At 36.8% G+C, this 26,632-nt stretch overlaps 1 long non-coding RNA gene across 3 annotated transcripts in view; it reads right to left on the bottom strand.

Moving 5' to 3' along the window:
- Positions 1 to 271: 271 nt before the first annotated feature.
- Positions 272 to 26,632, bottom strand: part of LOC105377329 (uncharacterized) — a 94,057-nt gene continuing 67,696 nt past the window's right edge. Inside the window, exons 3-4 of one of the 3 annotated variants that reach the window (XR_007058469.1) lie at positions 17,801 to 17,936; positions 272 to 3,301 (exon numbers count right to left, since the gene is read on the bottom strand). This is a non-coding gene — a long non-coding RNA (uncharacterized LOC105377329). Of the gene's footprint in view, positions 3,302 to 15,031; positions 15,311 to 16,537; positions 17,134 to 17,800; positions 17,937 to 26,632 lie in introns of those variants that run through there. The other 2 variants (XR_007058468.1, XR_007058467.1) reach the window with 2 other exon arrangements.

Raw genomic sequence — 26,632 nt, 5'->3', positions numbered from 1 at the left:
GAGAATACTTTTATGCCTGTATGTGATGTGTGTGCTTCTGGCTTAAGAGTGCATATGTAGAAATCACCTTTGTATTTTCAGGAGTTGTATGAGCACCTGGGATACAGGTGAATCAAAGAACCTTCCCCAGTAATAAGACCCATACATACTTGGGAGTCAGCATATTAAATTTCTAATAGCTGTGTTACAAAGCATTGTTATACTGGGCTGTAATTAGTGGCCCTTCATGGCCCTTGTCTTTATCTTGAGATAGTACATAAAAGCTTCTGGGTTTTTTTGTTTGTTTATTTGTTTTTGGTTTGGTTTTGGATTTTTTTTTTTTTTTTTGAGACAGGGTTGCGTTCTGTTGCCCAGGCTGGAGTGCAGTGGGGCAATCTCGGCTTATTGCAACCTCTGCCTCCTGGGTTCAAGCGATTCTCATGCCTCAGCCTCCCCAGTAGCTGGGACTACTGGTGTGTACCACCACACCCTGCTAATTTTTGTATGTTTAGTGGAGATGGGGTTTTGCCACGTTGGCCAGGTTGGTCTCGAACTCCTGACCTCAAGTGATATGCCCAACTCAGCCTCCAAAAGTGGTGGGATTACAGGCAAGAGACACCCCGCCTGGCCCCCCAAAACCGGTTTCACATAGATTTATGTCAATTGCAAATACTGAGGCAATCAATGACATTTTCCCCACTGTACATCTCTCTTCTACATACTAGACATCCCATCCCCTGTTACTCCAAATATATATCATGGGGCATGATTTCAATCATTTTTTAAAATCTGGTTCTTCTCATTTGAAAAAAAAACATACATGTCCAGATTACTAAGAAAAATGGTTCTCAAAACTGAAATAGTATGTATTTGAACATACAGAGCAGGACCCATCTGATTCTCAGAAACTAACTTCTGAGAGGCAGTGATCTGCTTATCGCATGTTATGTGTAAAATCTGACTGTACACTTCTTTGGTAAAGAGCAGTGTTGTACAAACTACCTTCCATAGGAGGTTAATAGGTGCTGTATTAACACACAACACAATTTATGTGCATAATCTGTTCTCTGGTCAAATTAGCTTGGAAAACTTTCAGTTAACTTGAGATTTAGAACATTTAAATTTAAGAGATTTTTAAATTGCAGGCCATGTTAGACCCTTAAGATGCTATTATAATCATGTCCAAGACTCCTTGAGGGATAAACACAGAGCAGTGCTTCCAAAATTTTTTGACACAAGACCCTTTTCATAGAGTGTCTTGCAGGACACATTTTGAATTAGAATATTGTTACTCTTGGTGCATGAAAAAGTATAGTTTCTTTCCAAGTATAGGAAATACAGAATCACCTGAAAGGTGAAATTGAAGTTATTCATGCAGTGTAAATCTGCCTAATTATTGTTGAAGATTTATGTTCCTCAGACCTAAATGCTGAACTGAACAGAAGATTAGGATGCAGCAGGAAAACAAGGTATTTAGGCAGCTGGTTCCCGAAAAATGAATCAAAAAGTGGCATTCCTCAAGGGGAGGCTCACTAAGAGCGAGAGCTAACTTTGTGTCTCAAAGAGGAAACTTTGGCCTTGCACCTACTAAGCTCCATGAAACTTTTGGGAGAGTAGGCAGGTGTCTCTACTTCGGGACAATGGTAGATTAAGGCAGAGTCTGAGTCTTGGGCTTGCATCTTCGAGACAAACTACTTCTGTATTTCTTGGTGTCTGGCCATTTCTCTTCTGTTTTTCCCTTAGTGTTCAGAAAAATCTCTGAAAATTCCAACCAGGCTCAATTTTGAGATGCATATGCAAAATAAATATTTTTGTCCTAGCTTGGATTGGAGGGGAACAATGCACGTTGTCATCCAGCCTCCTGAAGGCAGCTGTATTCTAAGTGGCTGAGTTCTAAGGAAAAGGCCAAATGTACTGACAATCTCATAAAATCTGTTTTTATCAGATTCCCTTCCCCACCTGGAGAATTCTCATTTGCTGCTAGCTTCTAAAGCCTGGATGATTCTATATTTATTAAGGAAAATGATTCCTTCACAGATTGTGTTACACAGAAATTCTAGTTTTCTTTTGCCTATGGGTTTTATTTGTTTGAGGCAACAACATTACCTTTTTGATTTACCTTGAGGTGACAACTAAAGGAAACAACACACCCTCCTAATTTTCAAATTTCTCCATCTCTGCATGTGATTATCTTTTCCTAATATGCTACTTAGGTTTTTGAAACAAAAGACAAGAATTCATAGTAATTCCTTTCAAATGCAGTTTCTGAAGATTTAGCCCATTCATCAAATCTCTATGTATCATTTGATTCTGCTTTTCCAGTGAATTTTTGTCATATCAATGAACCTTATCATCTGCAAATGTATTAAGTATACTCTCTAATTCTTCATTACAGGCATTAATAAAATGGCAACAGATTGGAATCAACATATTAATAGCTTCTCGGTATGATAATATAAGCACTTTCTTTCCACCTTAATTGCATTAGCATCTAGGCCATATTTCTTTGTATTATTCCTAAGGATATCTTGAGACACATTGTCAAATATCTTGTCAATTGCAGACACAAAGGGGAAATAAGAGAATTCAGGATCATATCATACATTTATTATTTAGTTGAGTAATATTCCCTACAAATATTAAAATAATTGAAATTGTATAGTACTATTATTACTTGCCCCATAACAGTTTTTCTGATCCAGCTCAGAAAATACCCATATGCCCACATAACACTCGTATAAGCAAATTTGTATTATTTATTACAAAAACTTTCCACTCAATTCATTTGAGAAAATTGATTTTCTAATGATACAGACTTGGTCCTATATAGATCTGACATTAAACTGGCTGCGAACCTTATCAAAGTTTTTTTAACTTCCTGGTCCTCACTTGCCTCATTTGTAAGTAGGAATTAAGAAAACAAATAAATTTTTAAAGTGTCTGGCATAATCCTGGTACTTAGAAAATTTTCAACAAACATAGGTTTCCTTACCAAAGTTATTATAATTATCTTAATAATATCTTTCTTAAAGAGAAGTCACTTTTCTGACTTTTAAATGACATCGATATAAATTCTAAGAGTTGTATGAACTGAGACTATAGTGAAATAGATGTGTTTATCAATGAAATCAATAGAAATTTGCAGTTTGAATTTAGGAGTACAACATAGAGTAACAATCAAAATAATGTAATACAGAAAATAATTACTGAATGCCTACCATATATTCCACCCTCTGTTGATATTAGGAGCAAGAAGGAAAGATTGAATCTCCTTTCAAGATGAGGTTCAAAGCATGATCCCTTCTATAGAGTAGACCACAATCTAGTGAAGATAAGTTACAGAAAGCAAATAATCGCAATTCAATATGCTGGGTTCTTTAAAAGTAGGTTGTGCATTTAAGTATTTGGGGTGCTATAAAATTGGTTCAGTTTACCAGGATTGAACGCCAAGATTACCCAGAGGAAAATACGGGAGAGGGGACACTTTTGCTGTTTTATATAGTGAGTAAAAATTTTAAGGAGAACAGTATTTTTTGCTTAGGAAATGATGAATTTGGTGTGGTTGGAGCATACGTCTGGCTTGAACTCTCTAAAAAATAGAATTCAAATATGTATTTGTTAATTTTCTGTAACATGTTTAGAACTGTAGGTGCCGTTAATTTACAGAGAAGACGTACTTAGCCATTTAGGAGAAATAATGCACTAGAATTTAGAGCTAATTATTCTGAACGATGAATGACAAACAGATCAAGAGGAATTTAAATGTCTAACTTGGGTGACTAAGCAGATGGTAGTTAAATCAACAGAATTAGGAAATTATTGAAAAATAGCAGATTTAGGGGATATGTGGAGCTTGAGCTAATCAGAGAAATAATCTGTAGTGTGATATCAGAAGCCATTTGCCAATTTAAGTTCCAGTGCTCATAAGAGATCGTAGCTATAGGTACAAGTTTTATATGCCATTATTTTATTATGATTAGATAAATTACATGTTTATTGCAGAAAATATGAAATGTATAAATAGAATATAAAAGCTTCTCCTAATCACATCATCTGTTAATAATTATAGGGGTTAACATTTTGGCAGATATTCTTCCAAAATTGAGGTTATAATGTTCTTTCTCTTTTTTCAATTAACTTTTTATCATAAGCATATTTCCATGTTCCTAGATATTAACTTAAAATTAGTTACGTGCTCTATAGTATTGTGTTGATAAAGCAGGATATTTCCCTGACCCCTTTGCGGGCAGGAACTGGAGTACATGAGCGCAAGAACTAGCCAGCTGCTTCGGTGCTGGTAGGGGCAAACTCCATTCACTCGGACCTGCTGCATTCCGCTGCTTGCTGGAGGGAGCAAGCAGAAGAATGAGTGCAGGAGCTGGGGCGAGCGTTTTTGGGCACCAGCAGGAGCAAACTCCGCACCGGCCCCGCAGCAGTTTCTAGGGAGATGCCTGCGACCCCTGGAGGCCCAGAAGTGTTACAGTACTCTTTTAGCTCTGCTGTCTGCGGACAGCTTAAGTATTAACTCAGCGGGCCCTCTGCTTTTTTGTGTGAGGCAGCTGCCTTCCTCCAGCGAGGGCAAAGGGTCAGTGTGACAGCCTTCTGTATCCGCATTCGTGGCACCCAAGCTTTTGTCCGGCAACCAGGAGAAATGAGGTTACAAAATGAATTGGACAATGGTAAATGTGGGGGATTTTATTGTTGTGGAGGTGGCTCTCAGCGGGAAGGGGAGCTGAAAAGGGGACAGGGTATGGAGGTAATTTTCCCCTGAAATCCGGCCATCTCTGGTCAGATTCTTCTCCAAAGTACCAATGTCAAGCTGTCCCCCTGAAGTCAAGCTGCTTCTCTCTGATGTCCAGCCTTAGTTCATTTGCTTCTCTTATCTCTGCCAGCTGAGGATGGGGTTTTCACTGGCACAGGATAGGGGGTGGGGCAGGCCATGGGTGATTTTGGAAAAGGCAACATTCGAGCAGGAAAATAGGGATGTAAGTTCTCACTTTGGGCCATGGTATCAGGATTTTCGGCTTGAGGGTGGGGTTTTTGCCAGGGACCCGCTCTCTTCTGCCCCAAATTTCCCTGCCTCCTGTCCCTATTATTATGTAAACAGACCTAATAAAAATTTATTTAATTCCATACTAATAAATATTTTAGATGTTTCAATTTGTTATAGTAAAATATTGGTATGTTTACTATCTTTTCATAAATATGTTGGTACATCTCTGATCTTTCTCTATTAACTACATTTCTAGAAGTGGAATTAATTTAACAAAATATATGAAAATTGGGCCGGGCACGGTGGCTCGTGCCTGTAATCCCAGCATTTTGGGAGGCCAAGGAGGGTAGATCACGAGATCAGGAGTTCAAGACCAGCCTGACCAATATGGTGAAACCCCGTCTCTACTAAAATACACAAAAAAATTATCCAGGCGTGGTGGTGCACATCTGTAGTCCCAGCTACTCAGGAGGCTGAGGCAGGAGAATTGCTTGAACCTGGGAGGCGGAGGTTGCGTGAGCCGAGATCGCGCCACTGCACTCCAGCCTGGGTGACAGAGCGAGACTCCATCTCGAAAAAAAAAATACATATATATATATGTATATATATATATACGTATATATGTGTGTATATATACGTATATATGTGTGTATATATACGTATATATGTGTGTATATATACGTATATATGTGTGTATATATACGTATATATGTGTGTATATATACGTATATATGTGTGTATATATACGTATATATGTGTGTATATATACGTATATATGTGTGTATATATACGTATATATGTGTGTATATATACGTATATATATGTGTGTGTATATATATGTATATATATACGTATATATACACACACATATATATACATATATATATACGTATATATGTATTTTTTTAATATGTGTATATACACATATATATATACATGAAAATTTAAGGAGATTGATGGAGAGTTTCAAAGTGCCCCGAGAAAGTTGGTCCTACTTTGTATTTACTTTTTCACCCATTTCACCAGACTTAATTATAATTTTGAAGTTGAAATTCATGTCTCCTGATTGGCTCTGTCTTTAACAATAATTTCTTTCCTTCCTTCCTTTCTTCCTTCCCTCCTTCCTTCCTTCCATTCCTCTCTCCTTCCCTCCCTCTCTCCCTCTCTCCCTTCCTCCTTTCCTCTTTCCCTTCCTACCTTCCTCCCTTCTTTCCTCCTTTCCTTCTTCCCTTTCTTACACTGAAAAGAAAATGTACGGTCATGTAGCAATAACCTCCCTCTTTACAATTATGTTAACTCTAAAAATAGATTTATCTTAGAAACTTGAGAAAATCTCTTTATGCCAAAGAAAATATTAATGTAATTTGGAGCTCTAAACCTAAATTTGGAAATTGTAGTGATTTATTTTGTGTGTCTGAGTCAGTGAGAGAGAGGGAGAAGATATATATGCATATTAAATATATCACTAATAAAATATATTGGTGGTCATTAAGAGGATAAACATGTAATATATTATAATAATGCTAATCATTTCACTATACATTAGTTTACTATTCAAAGAAAATTCACAACTTGAGTAGTCAAAAGTTGAAAGGACACATAAGCCTTTTAATAATTTAAGAATTTTCATGACACCTGAATAAAAAGATTAGAAAATGAGGCTGATAAATTTTATATCTGAATTTCAAGAAAGACTTATTAATTTTATACAAATCAATTACTAATAGAATAGTTTGTATGATAAGTGAATTTATTTTCTCATCACATTCAGTTTTATACTGTGTCTGCCTTTAGTAAATTTACTTTTTTTTTTTTTAAGTGTCTGTGATTGTAATATCTAAATTCCAGGGACATGTGGCTCTTCTGTATTTGCAATGAAAATTTATCTTGAAATACAAGAATGCAAGTCTTCTGTTAGTGTCCTGAACAACTCAAGCCCCAGGGAAATGCTCATCATTTGTAAAAATTAGAGAATTATAATCAGAAATTTAAAAGAGAATTATGTGCATGACTGTAGGACTAAGATGCCATTTATTCATCTCTCTTGAGACTTGTGACTTATTAGGAAATTGGGAGGTTGTTTTGTGTTTGTTCAAATTCTAGCTTCACTTTATAATTAGAATTAATATCTTATTTGTTTCCATTTGTTTCCATTCCTGCACCAAAGTAAACATGGGGCATGAAACGTAAGCCAAAACAGAATTACTTTTATCTTTTCATTACCTTTATGTTACTTTTTTAAAAACTTACCTTTAAAGTATGATAAAAAGAAACCTAATTGGACCACTGAGTGTGAACTAGAAGATTTTAAAACAATCTAAAAGTTTGATAAATTAAAGTTATTACAGAAAGAGTCCTAACCTTCTGCAGTTCATTTATTGAGATCTTACTATGTGCCATTTAAGAAGCTAAGCCATATATATATAGTTTGTTAGCTATATATATATATTTTATATATGTATAGTTTAAATATATAGTTTATATATATATATATATAGTTTGTTACATTATACAAATATTTTTAATGTGAGCCCAGTGGGGTAGTTATTTTTATCTAAACTGAGGTTGAAAGAGTATACCCAAATTGTCCATACATCACATAGTTAATAATACAGTGAATCCGAGATTTGAACCTGAGATTTTCTGACACCAAATGAGGGCAGGATTAGCTCATTGGCATCCAAGTGGCTGGACTAAGAACAATGTTCATCTCAAATGAAAGCTCTGGGGCTGACCTGGTGTTGTGGCTCATGCCTATAATCCTAGTGTTTTAGGAAGCCAAAGCAGGAGGATCTCTTGAGGCCAGGAGTTTGTGACCAGCCTGGGCAACACAGCAAGACCCTATCTCTTCAAAAACTTTAAAAAAAAAATTAGGCAAGCGTGGTGGCCATTTCACTCCGATGCCTAGGCAATGGAGCAAGACCCTGTCTCTAAAAACAACAAAAAAGAAAGACTTGGACTGCCAGAAACCAAGAATCTCCCCCATGGCATCCAACCCTTGACCATGTGAAGAAAGAGATGATTGAAGCCAGAACCTCAGTCCAATTGATCTAATGCTTTCTTATGGAACGTCTTACCCAGTTTTACTTTCTGGTCTACCTTTGACTCTGTTGCCAACTTTTATCCATTTGACCTGCCCCAAATCCCGACTTTTGCACCTGACTCTTACTTTCTTTTGCCCTCATCAGCTACATTCTGGTGCTCCTTTTGGAGATATATTTCAAATCACCTGAACAATAAGACTGAGTTCTAGTCCTCTGCACAGGGTTTTCGAAATTTTGTTTATTTTATAATATCTCAATCCTTCATGAAGAATTTCCTTAAAAAATGTGAATTCAGTTTCTATTTCTTTCTCGCGTAGGGTCCCTCTTTCTCTTAGGACTGTTGATTAAAACCCGGATTCCTGGGCTGGGAGTAGCAATAAAGCAACTGAGAAGCCTTATTCTGGACTCTGGTCAACAAAGGAACATATTTCTTTCTGGGATTATCCCTCAATGTGTTGATCACGCCACATAATTTTACTTTTGTTTTTTTTTTTTTTTTTTCAAAATTCAAACAATTTGTTGAAATTAAAATCAGCAAATATCGCCGATGTTGACCCATGGAAGAGAAGTATAATGCAGTGTAAAAATCAAAAGACCTAGTTTTTAGTCTTGCTACAGAGTAATCTTGATCAAGTTATTAACAACTTATGTAAGTTGTTAATGTCATTTGAGAAATGAGGAGACAAGTTATCTCTAAAGTAATTAAATGTCATAATATTATATAACAATATGAGTTTAACTAGCAAAGGGGGAATCTAAAATTTGGAAGTATAAAGGATTGGGCTGATTAACCAGACTTCTAGTGAAGTAAGTGCACCAAGTTAATATAAAAAAAAATGTTGTATTTATAACTAGCTCAATTTTATTTCATCACCCACGAAGTTTCAGTTTGTTTTCTACCATTGATTTTGAATTTTTAATGACTGAGCATGGAAAATATTAGGAAATGATAGCAAAGTTCTCTTAATGCTCTAGCTAGTGATAGCAGAAAAATCTACTAATAGTGAAAAGTTTTCAAGGAGTCTCAGACTCGAGTGCCAAAGCACATTTGATCACACATGATCCCATTTATGAATTTAATTTTAAGCAGTTTGCAATGAACTATCGGTTAGGAATATAAATTAGATTGAACAAATTCAAGTATTTTTATTGAAATAAAAACTACCATAAAAATAAATGTAAATGACAAACTAAAGTATGTTTGCAATACACATGGCAAATAATTCATTTATTCAACAAAAGACAAAACAATGGGCACATATATAAAATGCTAATTCATGAACTATATGGTATGTTCAAATTCACTAGAAATTAAATAAATGCACATTTAAAAGAAAAGTACGTTATATTTTACTTCTCAGTATGGGAAAGTTTTAAAAGCATGGTAACACCAGGTCTTAGCAAGATGTAGTAACATTAGTACGGTACTTTTATACTCTGTTGTTAGGGATTTAAAATGGTACCATCTTTCTGGTAGACATTTTGGTAGTATGTATTACTCCATTTGAGTGAGCATATTATTTGAATTAACAATTTTACTTCTGGTAAATTTTGTTTTATATGCCTACTTACATAGTTATATAAAAATGTTGTTTTATATATATAAATGTATGTTTCTATATAATGACATTTACGTATAATATTTTTGCTGTAATATTATCTATAATATTGAAAATTTGGGGAAAAAACAAAGATATGCAACTAAAGATGATTAATATCCTATGACAAAATAGAATGCTACGCACATAGGAAAAAAACTCATGATATAGTTTTATATTCATTGATATTGACAAAAATTTTTATAAAATATTAAATAAAAAATCAATTTTACTATTACCACATATATTGCACATATTTTGTGTTTATATGCATTAAAAAAGGATGGAGAGCCATAATAAACATAAATGTTTTTGCAGTTATTTCAGAGCAGAATTTGGGGGTGATTATTTGCTTTTCCTTCAATGAATATTATATGTAATATGAATGAAACAAAAAAAGCAACAGAAGCTATTTTCCTTCAGACTGCACAGTTGATCCAGTTGGCTGGTTATGCATCTCCCTTCTGTTTACACTTGAATATTCTCTCAAAGGACATTTGAACTCCACAAAACATCAACATTTGACAACTTAGTGATATTTCACTGGTAGTAAAAATGACAACAAAAGCAGAGAGAGGTAAGTACAACCTTCACATGCATTAATTTAGACACAAATAAAAGAAAAAATATCTTAGGAGTGGAATTTTAGAAAGAAGTTTTGTTGTGGCATCATCTTCAAATTTTCTCTGCTTCTCACCTACTTGCTGAAATATTTTGTATTATTGAAAAGGATATTTTAATATTTTATTTAAAATAAGAATATTTCAATTACATAAATAATTTTATAATCATCAGCTTTGAACATTGGAACACATTCAATTCTTTTTAACAAAACATATTCAAAGCAACTGTAGGTTGTTCTACCTTTTGAAACAGCAAAATCGTTATTGCATTATTATGTGTGTGAATTATGTGTATCCTTCAATGTGAAGTTTGGTCTTATCACTGGCCCCAAAGTTATTCTAAAGTGAATTATTTCAGAGAGAGGACTTCAAGATAGTAAGGCACAAAAAAATGACTTCTTTTTCTGATTTCTTTCCTAAATTACTCAATTCTTCACCTTGAGATATTTAGTTAACTACTTTAACATCTTCTAGAATATGAGTTTCACGAACACAGAGTAGGTTCTCAAAAATATTTGTTTTATAGCAGCTTTCAGATGTTCTTGATAATCATTTTGTCAAGATTAAATAAAATACCTGAAGGCTTATCATGTAGTAAGTCCTCAATAAACATTAATTGTTATTATAATTAGCTTAATTGCTGGCAAAATATTGTCTTTGGATATGCAGTTGTCTGTTCAGCAAGTATAGAAATTTGCTTCTTACATTAAAAAATACCATACAATAGATTATTGCCTTTAAAAATGGGAGTTAAACTCAAGATGCACTAAATACACCCTATATTAAAATTTGCTGTCACCTCCCATACACAAAACATGGAGTTTTGAACATTGAAATTTAGACTGCTAGTAAAAAAAAAAAAAAAGTCATCTCACAATACATTCATTGAGTGAACACAATTTTTTCTATGTTGGATTCCTATCTGAAATGTCTCAGGATGATAGAGATTAAGTCAAGGGTAGAATATAATTCTGTGTCAAATAACTCTTCTCCTGTCTTAGTTATATAGTTACATAGGAAGCAGTAGGTGTAGTGGTGAAGAGCATTGACTGGATTCAAATCCTGGGTCTGCAATTACAAACTATATGAACTTAAAGCAGCCACTTTATCTTACCAAGGCTTAGTAAACCATAGGAGCACATATACTTACCTCACAGAACTGCATTTGGTAGGATTGAATTGAATGGAGTATGTAAGCGCTTGGTACAGTTCCTAATACAGAGTTAGCACTCAATAAGCAGCAGCAAGTCTTTCTGTTGTTGTCCAGAATTAAAAGGAAGTCTTTGGTAATTCTGGAGTCTAAAACTTTGAAGAAATCCGGATGAAGACTTAGATTGGTATCACTCTGTATCTTTCATTATGCATAGCATTCCTCATTGAATCAATACACTTTGCTTTCTCTCATCTGCCTTCTCCTATTTTTTTGCACCTAGCAGTCATCCTTCCCCTATATAGCTATAGCCTTTGGGATCCGTCTGTCATAATTCAATGTGGGTCAATCTGTCTCAGATGGAAGTGCCTTCCTTATAATCAATGTAACTGACTTGTTTAAAATGAATAGAAAAATACAGTAAGTTTCCAGTTAGAAGAACATATCTTAGTTCTATGGTTGACCATTGTATGGCAATAATAACATTATTGCCTTTGAGCTGAAGAATTCATATCTATAAATCTGAGGTTATATCCATCTCAAAGACTTTTGGACAGGATTAAATAAAATCCTACATAAGCACTAAGTAAAAGGCTATGCCTACCACACAGTGGTTACTCAATGGTGACAGTGGTTGCTTAGCTGTTGATATAAATATTATCATTATCATGATTGCTAGTATTGTTTTTGTAGACTCAGTACTTAACAGAGCCTAGAACAGTGTTTGCACGTGAATGAGTGAATATAACTATAGTCTCACTGCTGAGCAAGTGGTATCATTTTATGTCCATAAGAGAGAGCAGTGTTTTCTACTGGAAACATGAATGAGTATTGGTAGCATCCACAGAACACAATGGCAGCTATTTGTAGCTTCTAATGGTGATGTAATTCAGCTATGTGGCTCAAGGTACTGGTGAGCCCTTAAAATGCAGCTGGCTCAGCTCCTTTAAATAAAAATGATTAGACAAGAAAAAGTGGAAAACAGATTTATTTATAAACCATCCTACAAAGACACAAGGTGGAGTTCTGTTTTCGTGACACACCAGCAACTCTTTAAATATTTACAACCTGGGGAATTCATGTGTAGACGGATGGCATATTTAGGCCTTTAATGTGCCATCTCAGCAGGGCCCGCTTAAGGCTGCCCATCTGGAAGATGAAACTTTACAGCCAATTTAAAAATGTTTTTTCAAGGACAGATAAACTGTTTCTAGCTAATTTCCACCAAGACATATGAAAGCAAACCTGGTGCTTTTTTATTTGGGAACTAACATTTAAACCAGAATTCATACTTCTTTTCCGGAACACCTGTAGAAAACTCCTGCATAGTCAAGACTAATTTAAATTCCCTTCTATAAAACAAGCCATACAACAGTGTTGAATCAGTAGAGAGATATATTTTCCTTTTATGGCAACAAAAGCAGTAAAAAATCTAGTTAGAATTTTATTCTCATCTCTTCTCTTCAGATTTAATGGATAGGTATACTGTGTTAAGTCTCTGCCAATTGAATTAAATTCTTCAGAATTCTACCAAATAAATGTCTAAATGTTATGGAGCAATGTTACATTTCTCTTTGAAAGTTTTGCTTTATTGATTTGTAAAATATCTTTCAAAAGTTATGATATGATTGCTATCTCGAATCTCAAATGCCATAGTACTGGTCAGGATCAGTTCACTGAGTTAGTTGTTCACAAACATTCCTGTGATTTGAAGGATATTTTTCTTTCTTCTCTCTCTCCATCCCACTCATCCTTACTCTTGTCCTTCCTTCCTTCCTCTCTCCCTTTCTTCCTTTCTTTTCTTTCCTTTCTTTCTTGGATTCTCATAAGCTAATAAAGTTGGTGTTCGAGTATGAACCTATCTAAATATTCAACCTCCTTTCTCTCTCCTGAGAGTTCAAATTATTTTCTTCCAGAAGCTATATTTAGATTACTTCTCCACAAAAAAAATAATTTTTAAAACTCTGTATATTACTCAATATGAGGTATAAGCAGAATTTTGGGGAATTGGGGTGGGAAGGAATGGAGAGAGCAATAGCAGGAGCAAGAGCCATCACGAAAGCCACAGCAGAAGTGTTTAGCCCACTGACAAAATCCCAACCACATTCCAGAGTATAATCACAGTATTCATACAAAGTGCCCCCATCATTGTAAGAGTCACTGAAAAAATACTAATGAGCAAAATTAGTTCCTCCAAAATGATTGTCTGTAATATTCATTTTTAAATGGAATTTAACTTGCTCTGAAGTTATCTTTTTGAGAATTAAGCTGTGACACAGCTCTTTCTCTCTCCTCTCAGTCCTTTGAATAGCACATTCTTGAAATTAGTACTGAAATGAAGTAGCCAACATAATTGGATAAAATCCAGGGCAGTAACAGCAGATAGCAAGATATCTCTCTGAGTGTTACCTCTTTTTCAAATAAAGTCCAATATTACTTGACCAAAGAATAGATGATTCTGCTGTTTGTGATGTCTGGTTGCAGGGCTACAGTATCCCCATTTACTTGGCAGTTAGTACAATTAGCCAAGTTAACTGGTAAATGGGTCTCCATTCAACTATTACTCAAGGTTTTATGTAGTTTGAAAACACTGACCATCATTAGCAGAAATCTTCCTATCCTCCTGTGCCAGTTCCTCTAATGTACTTGTAACTGGAGAACCATATAATTGGGCAATGGTTACCCTTATTGGAGAAGAAATCATTTGGAGAGCTGCTTTCAAAGAGTTGGCATGACTAGATCCCCTTTTCTCTACATTTCTTGTATACTATTAAAAAAATGTGTTTGCAATGTTTCTCAAGTCCTTTTCTCCCACCATTATTCTTATTACATTTTTTAATTTATATTATTCTTTGGACATTATTACAAGCCTGTAGAAACTAGTTTTTTTTCTCCATCTTCAAGTTGTGAGCTGACTATGAGCTTCGTAGACCAACTCTGCTTCAACCTGGGATCCTAGTACATGGGGTGAGTTCATTCATTTTCTACAGGACAAATATTTGAGATTTGTAGGTTTTTCTAAGTAGATCAAATTTACATAAGTAAGGAATAAACTTCTATCACATTTAAGCCATTCTCCTTTTAGGTGTTTTTCTTTATGCAGCCGATCTTAATTCTAACTGGTTTAGCTAGTCATCAGGAATAGACACAAACAGACCCTACCTTCTCAGGGAGGGAACACTTGATTTAAGTCTTGAACTAGACCTTTAGCCAGATGGAGCTTGGGTTAGCAGAGGGGAGGTTGCTGTGACTTAGAAGACTGGAGAATTAAGAGGCATTTTGGGTAGAATAAATACTATGTTCAGATGTACTACAAGTACACTCAGATTTAAACCATTAAAGCTTATGAAGGAGGTATCCTAATATGAATCACGTTAGTGATCTCTAGTTTCCCCTTATCCCTATCTTGCAGCAGGCTGACCTCCATGAACTGGATCAACAAGCTCCTTTGCCTCTTGACATTCTGGCTGGGTTCAGTCAATAGGAAGGACCAGCAGAATATCAGAGTGAAGAAACAGAGGGAGGTTTAGGAAAAGTATTCCCTCAGCTTCTTCCCTGAAGAGCCAGTCAGGACTGGCTGCATACTATAACCATAACGAGTCCTTTGCCCGATGCAGTGAGTCAATATATGGAGACACTGGGGGTTGCAGCAGAGAAAGAGTTTAATAATCAATCATCATGCAGTCAATTGAAGAGACCGGAGGAAACCTCAAATCTGCCTCCCTGAGGGGTTTGTGGTTAGGGATTTTAAAGGGCCTGGCCAGGTGATGGGTATTGCGGGGATCACTGATTGGTTGAGAAGTGAGGGGTGAAATTATGGGACAGGAAGACGAAACTGCATTCCTGTGCTGAGTCAGGTCTTTGGTGGGGGTCTTCAGACAGGCTGATGTCAGCCATTCTGCGAATTCAGGATCTGAAAAATACTTTAAGCAATTCTTACGTAAAAAGGTCCAGTGTCAGAGATTCTATCTATAGGAACAATGAGGGATTAGGTGGTCAGCAAGCTACATGACTCTCAGTTACTCGGCAGCTTCAGGGTCAAAGCGCACCCTGGTCAGTTTCTAACTATAATTCTGCCTAAAGACTATGGCAATTCTTGTTAACCCTATGAGAATCCCTCTACCAATGGCCATGGCTCCTGACAGGTGACCTTCTCTCTGGGTTCCAGTGACTTCTCTGTCCCTTTGTCCCTTTAGAACTAGGAGTGGCAGTAGCATCCTGCTGTTACTAACTGTATAAAAAAAAAAAACTATTTTTTTCTTGATACTCACATTCAACATGGAACACTTTTGACAAAAGATATGTGGGTTTCCCATACAAAGTAATTCTGGCATTAACAGCCTGTAGTTAGCACAGATCCCATAGGTTAAGGATTCACACCCACATGGCTGCCCACCCCTCCCTGCCTTCAGATGCCAACTTCAAGTGGTAGATCACCAGGTTGCCCAATATTTTGTTCAACTTGGCTACAAACTGAAGGTTCCCATGACCCCCTCCTCACTTTCCATTATTTGCTAAAGCAGCTCACAATTCAGGAAAACAGTTTACTTATAAGATTACTAGCTTATTACAAAAGATATCTTAGAGGATACAAATGAATAGCCCAGTAAAAAGACAAAATAATAATAGGGGGAGTTTAGAAAGGTCCCAAGCACTCTCTTGTGATTTCTCTTGCTGATACTTTTATAAATGTCCCCTTCATTAACCGCTCCTCAAATAAACCCTATTTTGATAGCTTTTTGTTTCCTAATGGGACCCTGACCTATCAGAGTTCTGATGGTTTTATTTTGCTAATTTATAGCACCTATTAAAATCAGTAGGAGTAAGTACCCAGTAAAAGTACTTATGCTTCAAAATACCTGGATGAATTTGTGAACACGGCAAGAACTTTTTTTTGTTGTTGTTGAGATGGAGTCTTGCTCTATAGCCCAGGCTGGAGTGCAGTGGTGTGATCTCGGCTCACTGCAACCTCCGCCTCCGGGGTCCCGGTTAAGCAATTCTCCTGGCTCAGCCTCCCAAGTAGCTGGGATCACAGGTGCCCACCACCATGCCCAGCTACTTTTTGTATTTTTAGTAGGGACAGGGTTTCACCATGTTGGCCAGGATGGACTTGAACTCCTGACATTTGGGAGGCCGGCCATGGCCTCCCAAAGTGCTGGGATTACAGGTGTGAGCCACTGCACCCAGCCAGCAAGAACTTTTTGAGAATTATTGAAATCACCCTCTGAGTTAAGGAAGCTGTGAGAAACCATATCTTCCAAGTTCTGCTTCTCCTGGTGCACTCCAGTATACAAACGTATGCTGTCTGTGATGGAGCCTCATTTCATCCTGTTAGAAGACTTACTGTTGAGTCCCTGCTATTGTTCAGTTTGTTTCAAGAACTAAGTCTTAACCAAATGGTTTCTACAAAGACTTTGCTTTCTTCCTTTATCCTCTCCCAACCCATCTGCTCTGAAATTGCTTGCTGAATAAAAACTTTACTTGTTAACCCTTGAAATGGCTTTTCTTCTCTTTGTTCAGAACAGTAGCTGTATTTTTGTTTTCATCTTCTCCCATGTTGCTAAAGAGAAAGATTTCTCCTTTTATTTTAGGAAGAATCATTACATTCTTGTAATCAGAGTTGACAACAGATTTTTCTATTGTTCAGTAGCTCCACAAATCCCATGAATAACACTTGAAGGCTACATCCACTGATAGTAGCAGCAGAGGTAGCTTAGGGTTAAGTCACGTACAATAGACAATGGCACTGAAGCAGAAGAGAGGATATCAGTGTCAAAGAAATATACTGGTGGTGTTTAGCTAAAGATTCAAATGGGTATGAGGAATCATAGAAGATGAAGAGGGAGAGGTAGGAAGGTGCTTTTATGCACATTCCTGACTGACACATTCTCCACTGACTACAATCCAACAGCACTGACCTAACTCAGAAGACTCTTCTATGTGGAAAGCAAGAGTATCAAACATTTACAGGGCACCCAGATACAACAAAATACCAAAACAAAAAGGATAAACAAGAATCTAATTGTTGATATATTTAAAATTATAGGGGCAGACATGGGATGATCTTTTTTCTCCCCATTGTAAAAGGTTATAGCAAACATCCCTATAATATAAAACAGGCTAACAAGGGAAAAGGAGAACAAATTCATTACTATTACATGCACAAGTGTTCATGGGAGCCAGACAAAATATGAACTTGAAGAGGAGCCAGGTGATTGGGCTTAAATATTCTCTTCATAGAAGAGAGATGTATAAACCTGGGAAGTGGGAGACAAACCTTATGGAAAGGTGAGGGACAGTGCTGCATAGGAGCAAAGGTACCCTTATTATGCAGATAGAGTTCCCCAGGTAAACTCTTGGAGCTGCCCTCAGAAGAATAGATAAAAAGTCTCTGGGGTGGGGTTTTAACTCACAGTCTCTTCTCTGGTGGTTGCTCTTTTCTGGTTAGTTGATCAGATCCCTAGGGAAGAAGTCTCAAGACAATTGCATTTCTTTTGGAAAGAAGCTTTCTTGGTCAGATAAGTAGATTCCAGAAAGTCCTTCCTTGTGCTTGGAGAGAAGGGAAGAGATGAGACGAGGTTAGAAGGACCTTGATTCTGTGGCAGCTTCCAATGCCTTTCATCACATCCAACTGCCAGTCTTTGGGGAATACAGTTCTGAGCCCCAACAGGACCTACTGTGTGCCAGAAAGGATGAAGAAATGTGTTTCCTAGGCTTGTTCTGACATTGTGTAGTTTCTCTTTTAACCCTGAAAACCACTTGAAAAATTCTTTTTTATGTCTATCAATAAACATTGATTTTATTTCTTCATCCTGTCATTTCAAATTGTTTTGATGAAATTTGATTTCTTTTGAAAAAATAAATCAGGCCGGGTGCGGTGGCTCACGCCTGTAATCCCAGCACTTTGGGAGGCCGAGGCGGGTGGATCATGAGGTCAGGAGATCGAGACCATCCTGGCTAACAAGGTGAAACCCCGTCTCTACTAAAAATACAAAAAATTAGCCGGGCACGGTGGCGGGCGCCTGTAGTCCCAGCTACTGGGGAGGCTGAGGCAGGAGAATGGCGTGAACCCGGGAAGCGGAGCTTGCAGTGAGCCGAGATTGCGCCACTGCAGTCCGCAGTCCGACCTGGGCGACAGAGCGAGACTCCGTCTCAAAAAAAAAAAAAAGAAAAAAGAAAAAATAAATCAGTACTCAAAGATTTATTTTCCATTCTGCTATTCTCATTTTGTCAGCCAGCTCTTATCACGGGGCTCAAAATGGGTATAGCAGTACATGCATAAACAGCAATGTCCAGAGGTGAAAAAAAGAGGGAAAATAAAACAAATCCTTGTGTATCATTTAAGATCTAAAAAATCTTTTTCTGAATCCTTAGCCATCTCCTTATGTTTCATTGGAGAATTAGGTCTCCAGTGGCCTGAATTAGGTCACATGGTACTTCTTAACCCATTCTGGTCAGTAGGCAATGGAATTACCGACATTGGCTTAGTCAAGCCATAATTATCTAAAAAAGCATAATTGGGTTATCAAGATTTCTGTCCTGTGGCAAAGGCCAGCCTTCCTTGAAGCATACCTTCAGGGAAAGGAATACTAACACCTAAAAACAGAAGAGTTTCATTAGTAAGAAGAAGAGGGAAATAGCCTTTAAGCAGACAATCACCAATGTCTATAAGAGTGACTGAAAAATAAAAAAGACTATGTAAATGCAAGGGACTATAACTGAGGGAAGAAAACATCAATAGTGGAAAGATTTTAAGCAATAATTGTGTTACAGGAAAGGGGTCCCAATCCAGACCCCAAGAGAGGGTTCTTGGATCTTGAGGAAGAAAGAATCCAGGGCGAGTCTGCAGAGCAAAGTAAAAGCAAGTTTATTAAGAGAGTAAAGTATTGAAAGAACAGCTACTCCACAGACAGAGTAGGATGTTCCCGAAAGTAAGAGGAGGAACATGTTCACCATGGGTACAATGCTTGTTTATATGGGGAGATGTGCTCTGTTACAAGGGTTTGTGATAAAGGATTAATTTTCTTAACCACTATATTTTGCAAGAATCGATATTATTATCTTTAAAGCAAAATTAGGAATGCCTTTTTTCTTCAGATATGGGGATATCTGGACACTCCCAAGTCTGGGTCTGTTTAGTAAGCATTATTAATTTGTTCCCTTAACCATAAACATCTAGAGGCTAGGAATGCCTAACTTTCTGGGAATGCAGCCCAGCAGGTCTCAACCTAATTTTCCTAGCCCTCATTCAAAATGGAGTCACTCTGGTTTGAATGCCTCAGACAACTGGGTAGAGGAATTTATTTTATTTATTTATCTAGTTTTCCTGGAGAGTGACTTTGCTCATTCCCTGGAGAAAGTCTTTGTATAAGCAGCATTTTATCTTTTTTGGTTAAAAAAAAAAAAAGAAAAGAAAAGAAAAAAAAGATGGTGGCTAGAGAATATTTATGTCCTACATCAAGGAAGAATTGAATTTATTGAATTTAGTTTTATTTAATTTCTTGTCCTGAAAGATAATCTGCAACTCATCCAACCATGGGTCAAAGTATAATCCAATTTTCCCACTGAGCTGATTGACAAATTCTTATCTTAACAAGATTAAGACTTTAAAGCAGGAACTTCTCTGATGTTTCAAAAAGCAATAGCTTTTTACTGATTTTCTTGCACATTTGACCACTGCTTGTCTTGTTAAGTTGCCATTTGTTCTTTAAAAATCTTTATCATCTTTATATTCTAGGTCTTTTTTCTTTATCAGTGGCAATAGTGCTTTCCATTTGCCCTTTAGCTGACTGAAAGGCCAGGGTAGCTGTTTAAAACATCTGAAACACCTCTAAGACACCTTAAATATTTCAGGAAAATATGTAGCATAGGGCTATCCTAACAGCAGAACCATGAATCCTAAGCCTAAATTCATGAATATAGGATAGTATACTGTAAGTAGAGCAGGATTCTAGGTGTGACTATAGTATGCTATAAGAAGATCCTATATGTGAGCATGAACTTCTACCTTCATCCAAAAAAGTAAATGTCTAATAAAAGCTGTTTTCCTTCATTTATCTTTTAGTGAGTAGCCTGTGGGGGGTTGACCTTCTCAAAGGCCTTCCCAAGAGCCTTTTTGGTATGTGTGAGTATCAGTCAATTTATAGATCTACCTCCAAATAAGGGAGTCTGGGTTCTCTGGAGAGTTGGCCCAGTTCTGAAAGGAAAGCTTAAAGTAGCCTGTCTGCTTATGAGTACAGGTTATCTAATATTAGCTTCTGCGTGATGGAAAACAAATTGCCTTATTTATTAATCACTGCATAACAGACTGACCTCATGATGCAGAAAGCATTTTAAATTTGTAATAGTTTTATTTGGGGAAAATACTCAATTGCATTTTATGCAGATTAATCAGGTTTTCAATTGTTCCGATTCAATTATTCTTTTCAGTTCTCCCAGGAAAAAAAGTCTGATTTTCAAATTTTCTAATTTCATTATCAGCTTCAGAAAATGTAAATGATCACATGCATTGTAATCATTTTAATACCAACAGTGGTAAAACTGTGAGTGCTGCTCAGAATATAAGGAAATGTCTCTAATCAGACATGACTGTAGTATGTATAATATACTATTATATATATACACCAGATATAATCCTCCTGCCTAAGACAAAGTAAGTTTTTGAAAAAACAGGGCCTGAAAAGAAGTTCTGGTCTGCTAACCGGAACCTGAAGGAGATCAGTAACTTTATCAAATATGTGCATGTAAGTCAGATTGCCTGGGTTAAAATCCCAGCTCCATAATTTTTTGGCCATGTGATTTTAAAAGGTTCTTCAAAGTCTCTGTGCTTTAGTATCTTCATTTGTAAAATGGTAGTGATAATAAGAATAATGACAGAATTGGTTCATTGTGACCATTAAATTAAGTAGTATAAATAAAGTACTTTGGGGAGCACATGGCTCAGTGTTAGAAATTATTAGTATTATATCACTATCTCTTTTAAGTTGGACATTCTTCAATATAATTTTTATCATTTTTAATAGGATTAGAGGCAATCTGATTCAGAAATTTCTTTACATTCCTTGCTTGGTATGGCCAAACATTCATTGCTTTACGGGAACTAGAAAGCAGTGAATTAGTGCCATTCTATCAGTAAGTTTTATTAAGGTCCTGGTAGGAGGCAGACCCGATCCTAGACATTAAGCAGAAATGATGAAAGACACACAAAAAAACAAAGATGCACTTTGCATGCAAAGAATTTACGGTTTGATCAATGTAATCAACACACAAGAAAATAATCAGCAATAAACCAGAATTAGAAATTAGGCACACATTATGCATATCCCTAATATTGCGCCGCTCCCATGAGGTAATAATTATTAGTTGATAACTCTCTCCCTGTGAGTTTAGAAGTTCTTTGAAAGCAGCTATGATCCTGCTTGTTAGAGGTCTAGGTATGGTACCATGCACTCTGTAAGTGTGAATCTTTGAGAATAAAGAAACTGCAGCAGTCAGGGGAGTGATCACAGTTATATGAGTGGAAAGAAACTGGAATGAAAGAAAAACGAATTGAGGCTGCTGAGATAATTGGCTCTCCCACTATTTACCTATGGATTTGAACCTGTGAAATGAAAAGATTAATCTAGAATCTAGATTAGTATTATTCCAAGTTTTTTTTTTTCATTTTTAAATAGGGCAAAAACATTCTTCGAAGGAAATCTTTTGAGTAAAAGCCAACAAGAATGGAGGACCACAAACAGTCTTGGGATTGCAGAGAAGACCACCTGGATGAATCAATGTTTTTTTTGTTTGTTTGTTTTGTTTTTTGTTTGTTCGTTTTTTAGAGACGGAGTCTCGCTCTTTCGCCCAGGCCGGACTGTAGTGGCCTATCTCGGCTCACTGCAAGCTCCGCCTCCCGGGTTCACGCCATTCTCCTGCCTCAGCCGCCTGAGCAGCTGGGACTACAGGCGCCCGCCACCGCGCTCGGCTAATTTTTTGTATTTTTAGTAGAGACGGGGTTTCACCGTGTTAGCCAGGATGGTCTCGATCTCCTGACCTTGTGATCCGCCCGCCTCGGCCTTCCAAAGTGCTGGGATTACAGGCGTGAGCCACCGTGCCCAGCCAATGAATCAATGTTTTAAGCTGAGTCCTGAAGGGCAAATGGGAGTTACCCAAGAAAAGAATGTGAACATAAGAGAAGATTGTTCCAGAAGCTAGAAAGAGCATGGAATTAAAATCCATTAATTTTGGCTGAATTCAAGAATGTGAAGAGGAAATGGAAAGAAATAGGGCTTAAAAACTAAGCAAAGGCCAGATCAAAAAGGTCCATAGAAACTATGTTAAGAAGTTTTGGACTTTATGACAGTGGGTAACTATTAAAGAGTTTTAAAGAAGACAGCAATCTCACATTTGTTCTTCAGAAAAATAATTCTGGCTCTAATGCTGAGAAGGAATGTAATAGGAGCGGGGTTAAGGCAAAGATGTCATTTAGGAAATTGTTGCAGTAATTTTAGTAAGAGAAGTCAGAAGTTTAAGCCAAAAAGGTGACATGAAATCCCCTCACTCCCTGATTCAGTCACCTCTTTTCCACTTCATTATAGTGCTGATACCACAGCCCTGGGTAAATCTAACTCTTTTCTAACGCTATGCCTGTACTTAAGAAATTAGATGTAGCTGGGGAAAAACAAACAAGTAAGCTGATAGATCTCATTTTAAATTCATGAAAATAGCTACCTATAGGCCCTTAAAATGCTGCTCAATAATCATCTTCTACATCCCCTGTGTCCATTCAGTCTCCCATTGTCCTAAAAAATATATATACATTTTATGATTTCTCCCCTCTCTGAAAATCCCCAATACCTCTTTCCCCATTCTCACTCTCAGCTTATGACCTTTCTTCTTACTTCACAAAGAAACCTGGAGCAACCATAGGCGCCTTCACCAGATTCCCACCATGACATCTAGCCACCTACCTATCAGGACCTGCCACCCACCCTTCTATCCAGCTACTTCAGGTGACCTGTCCATGCTTCTATCCAAAGCCCATCCCTCTACTGCATCCCATCTCCTCTCACCTCCTTTAGGATGTCACTTTAGTAGTTTTCCCCTCCCTCCTTCATCAATAACTTTTTAGTCATTACCAAATATTCTTACCATCATTGAAATATAATGTTACTTATCTCATCTTAGAGAAAACTTTTCATTACTCCACCCATTTCACCAGCTCCCGTTTCTTTGCCCCTTTTTTGCAACAAACCTCTTGAAAGTTCTATTTTTCCAGTTTCTCTCCTCTCTTTTCTATAAACCCATGGCAATCAGACATTTGCTCGCACCACATCACAGAAATCATTGTTATCAAAGTCATCAAGGATCTCGTTACTTCTTAGATGTAGGTCCTGCTCTTGCTTAATGTATCAGTAGTATTTCAGTCAGTTAGTCATTCTGTCCTCCTATAAGTGATTGAATTGGCTTTGAGGATAACATTTCCTCTTGGTTTTTATCCTACCTCATTGATTACTCTTTCTTGGTTTCCTCTTGTGGTTTTTCTTCTCTCAACCTTTTAATATTAAATTGTTATAATTCTCAAATTCTGGGCCTTCTTTCTTCTCTATCTACTATGAAAGTTGTCAGAATCAAAATGGAATCACTTGTGTTAAAAGCTCTGACAAATGAAGCTGGGGAAAGCCATGAAGAGAGGCTTCTCATGCATGAATGTCTGATAATAAGAACTATCACAAAAGACTTAAAAATGACAACCTTGCACAAAGGCCATCTCAACCTTACACAAAAAATATTTCTGCAAGAATATCTGCCCAGCAACTGCCTGTCCAATCTCCAACTGGCACAACCCTTGTTATTATTGATCCTTGTAGTCCAGGATAATTATCTCAAAACAATTATGCAATCTTCCTTATTTTTTTTAAACTTTGTCTTTATCACCCAGAATACCCACATAGTTTACTATGGCACACACATTCCCATTTCGATGCTCATATCCAAATAAATATTATTTTCTTTTAAAGAGCTTCTTTTGTCTGTTATTTGGTTTGACACTACACTTCCATAGTGATTGTATCCAAACCTATAAGTTTAAATACCCTCTATATGCTATTCAGCCCAGTCCTCTATTAAGAATGTTATAGCTAAAACCAGAGTATCTTATCAACTGGTCACAGTAATTGATTTAGGGATAAGTATATAATGTAAGCTAGTTGAATAAGAATGAGCCTTAATATTTGCTCTGGAAATTCTAGTGCATAGATTCACATGTTCTTCACTGGACATAAGGATTTGGAGCTTGAAACTGCTGTAGTTAATATTTGCCAGAAGCCCACTGTATGCCTGTTTTTGGAGCCAAAATGGAAAGGAACCAGATTCTGGAAGTGGATTCTGATGACCTTGTTTGAGTCCTGAGTGAAACCACACCTCAAACCAGATCAATTGTTGGAATATTCAGTTCCATGAGGGTAAAATTATCATTTTTAGTTGAGATTTCTGTTGTTCAAAACACATGCATTCTATCTGATATACATCCACATGAGTTAGATATTTTTACCTCTACTTCATATTAGGTTTGTGCAAAGGTAATTGTGGTTTTTGCATTACTATTAATGCGACAAGAAAACCATAGTAATGGTTTAATACAAGAGAAAACCCATGGTAAGATGCCTATATAATTTTCCCAAAGTCATTCGTCTAGTAAATGCTGGCATCAGGATGATCCAATAGGCAGAATTTAGACTCCACATTCATAGCTACAACTCATTTTGAGTTGGAGTTTGGAGATACTGGAATGGACAACATTCTATATGTTGTGTCCCTTTAAAGTGTATGTGTGTGCATGTGTGTGTATATGCGTACTCTTATTCTAAGTACTAAATTAGAACATTAAACACATAGCCATATTTCCTAAAAAAAAAATCAAAGAAGTGATTCTCATTTATTATTTAGCCACACTCCTGGGAATATCCTGAGAATCAACTTTACTCTTTGGTCTGTGTCCTCAACTTTAATTGTATTCTTCACAGAACAATAAACATAGTACTCTCACCTACAGATTTTGGGTTCTTGTATTTTCAGATCTGCATACAGTAACCAAGAATCTGGTTTTGTAATGTCTAGATTTTATAAGACAGATTTATTTTCCTACCACTAAAATGTTAGTGTAAGTGAGCAGGTCAGTGAAATGCACACAGAATGAGTAATCTGGGAGTCCTGGGTTCAAACACTGATTCTTGTGATATTGGGCAAGGTTTTTAGTTCATTGGAGCCCTTTTCTCCTTCATAAAGAGTGAAACACAAATATCTACCTTACAGGACTGTGGTTATGATTAAATGAGACAACAAATGCCTGACATATAATGGACCTTGAACAAATCATAGTGTCTTTTTCTTCTTTAATTTTCAAAATTCTATTGAAATATAAATCTCTGTATTAGTAAAGAAGATCCCCAAGTGTCATTTCAAAGCATATTTTTTTCAATAAGTGTTGATCTTAACAACTATGGTATGCTGCATCACAAGATACACCCTCCTCCACTCACCCCTTTTTAATAAGACATTAGCCCTGCTGACAGGAAGCATTGGAGTGTGCCAATGCAGAGCCATGAGAGTGGCTCAATAATGTCCTGGGCAGAGGAAGAAGTCATTCTGGCATTCAGAATTGTCCCAGAGGTGACACAAGGATGGATTAGCAATATTGCCCCCACTGACATTATATGGATGTGCCCTGACCATTCTGTAGCTGAAAAAAATCCACTCCAAACTTCCCACTACAGAGAATTCAATTTGACATTGTTTAGCATCCTACACAGTGAATGGGGAACTTATTGCATTTGCTGTCTTATCTCAGAATGGAAGTGTTTTTCTTTAAGAATTCTCAGAAGGGAGTGATTCTTTGATAATTGAACTCCCTGTGGTTTTGGTCAAGTGGAAACAGTGCACAGAGGCTTCAAAGAAATGAAAGCTGTGAGCACAGAGCAGAAGCTTTTCTGGCGGTGATGAGAAGAGGCATCTCTTTGACCCTTTAAGTAATGAAAGCCAATCATTTAGAAAAAGCCCAGGCTGAAGTCCCTAAAGAGAGAAAAGAAAGGAGTGAGCAGAGCCTGATGTGGGAGAACTTGCTCTACACTTGAGGGCCCTCCCAAAATGGTTTCTACCCTTTTCAGTGTGATGATTTTGTTCACAAGAAATATTACGTAAATTCAAAGTTAGAAGCAAATGAAGTTAAGTCATATAAAATAAAAATTGTTCATCCTGAAAGGATT

The sequence above is a fragment of the Homo sapiens genome, chromosome 4 (genome assembly GCF_000001405.40).
Source record: "Homo sapiens chromosome 4, GRCh38.p14 Primary Assembly".
Lineage (NCBI taxonomy): Eukaryota > Metazoa > Chordata > Mammalia > Primates > Hominidae > Homo > Homo sapiens.
This window is presented reverse-complemented; position numbering and strand designations above follow the sequence as displayed.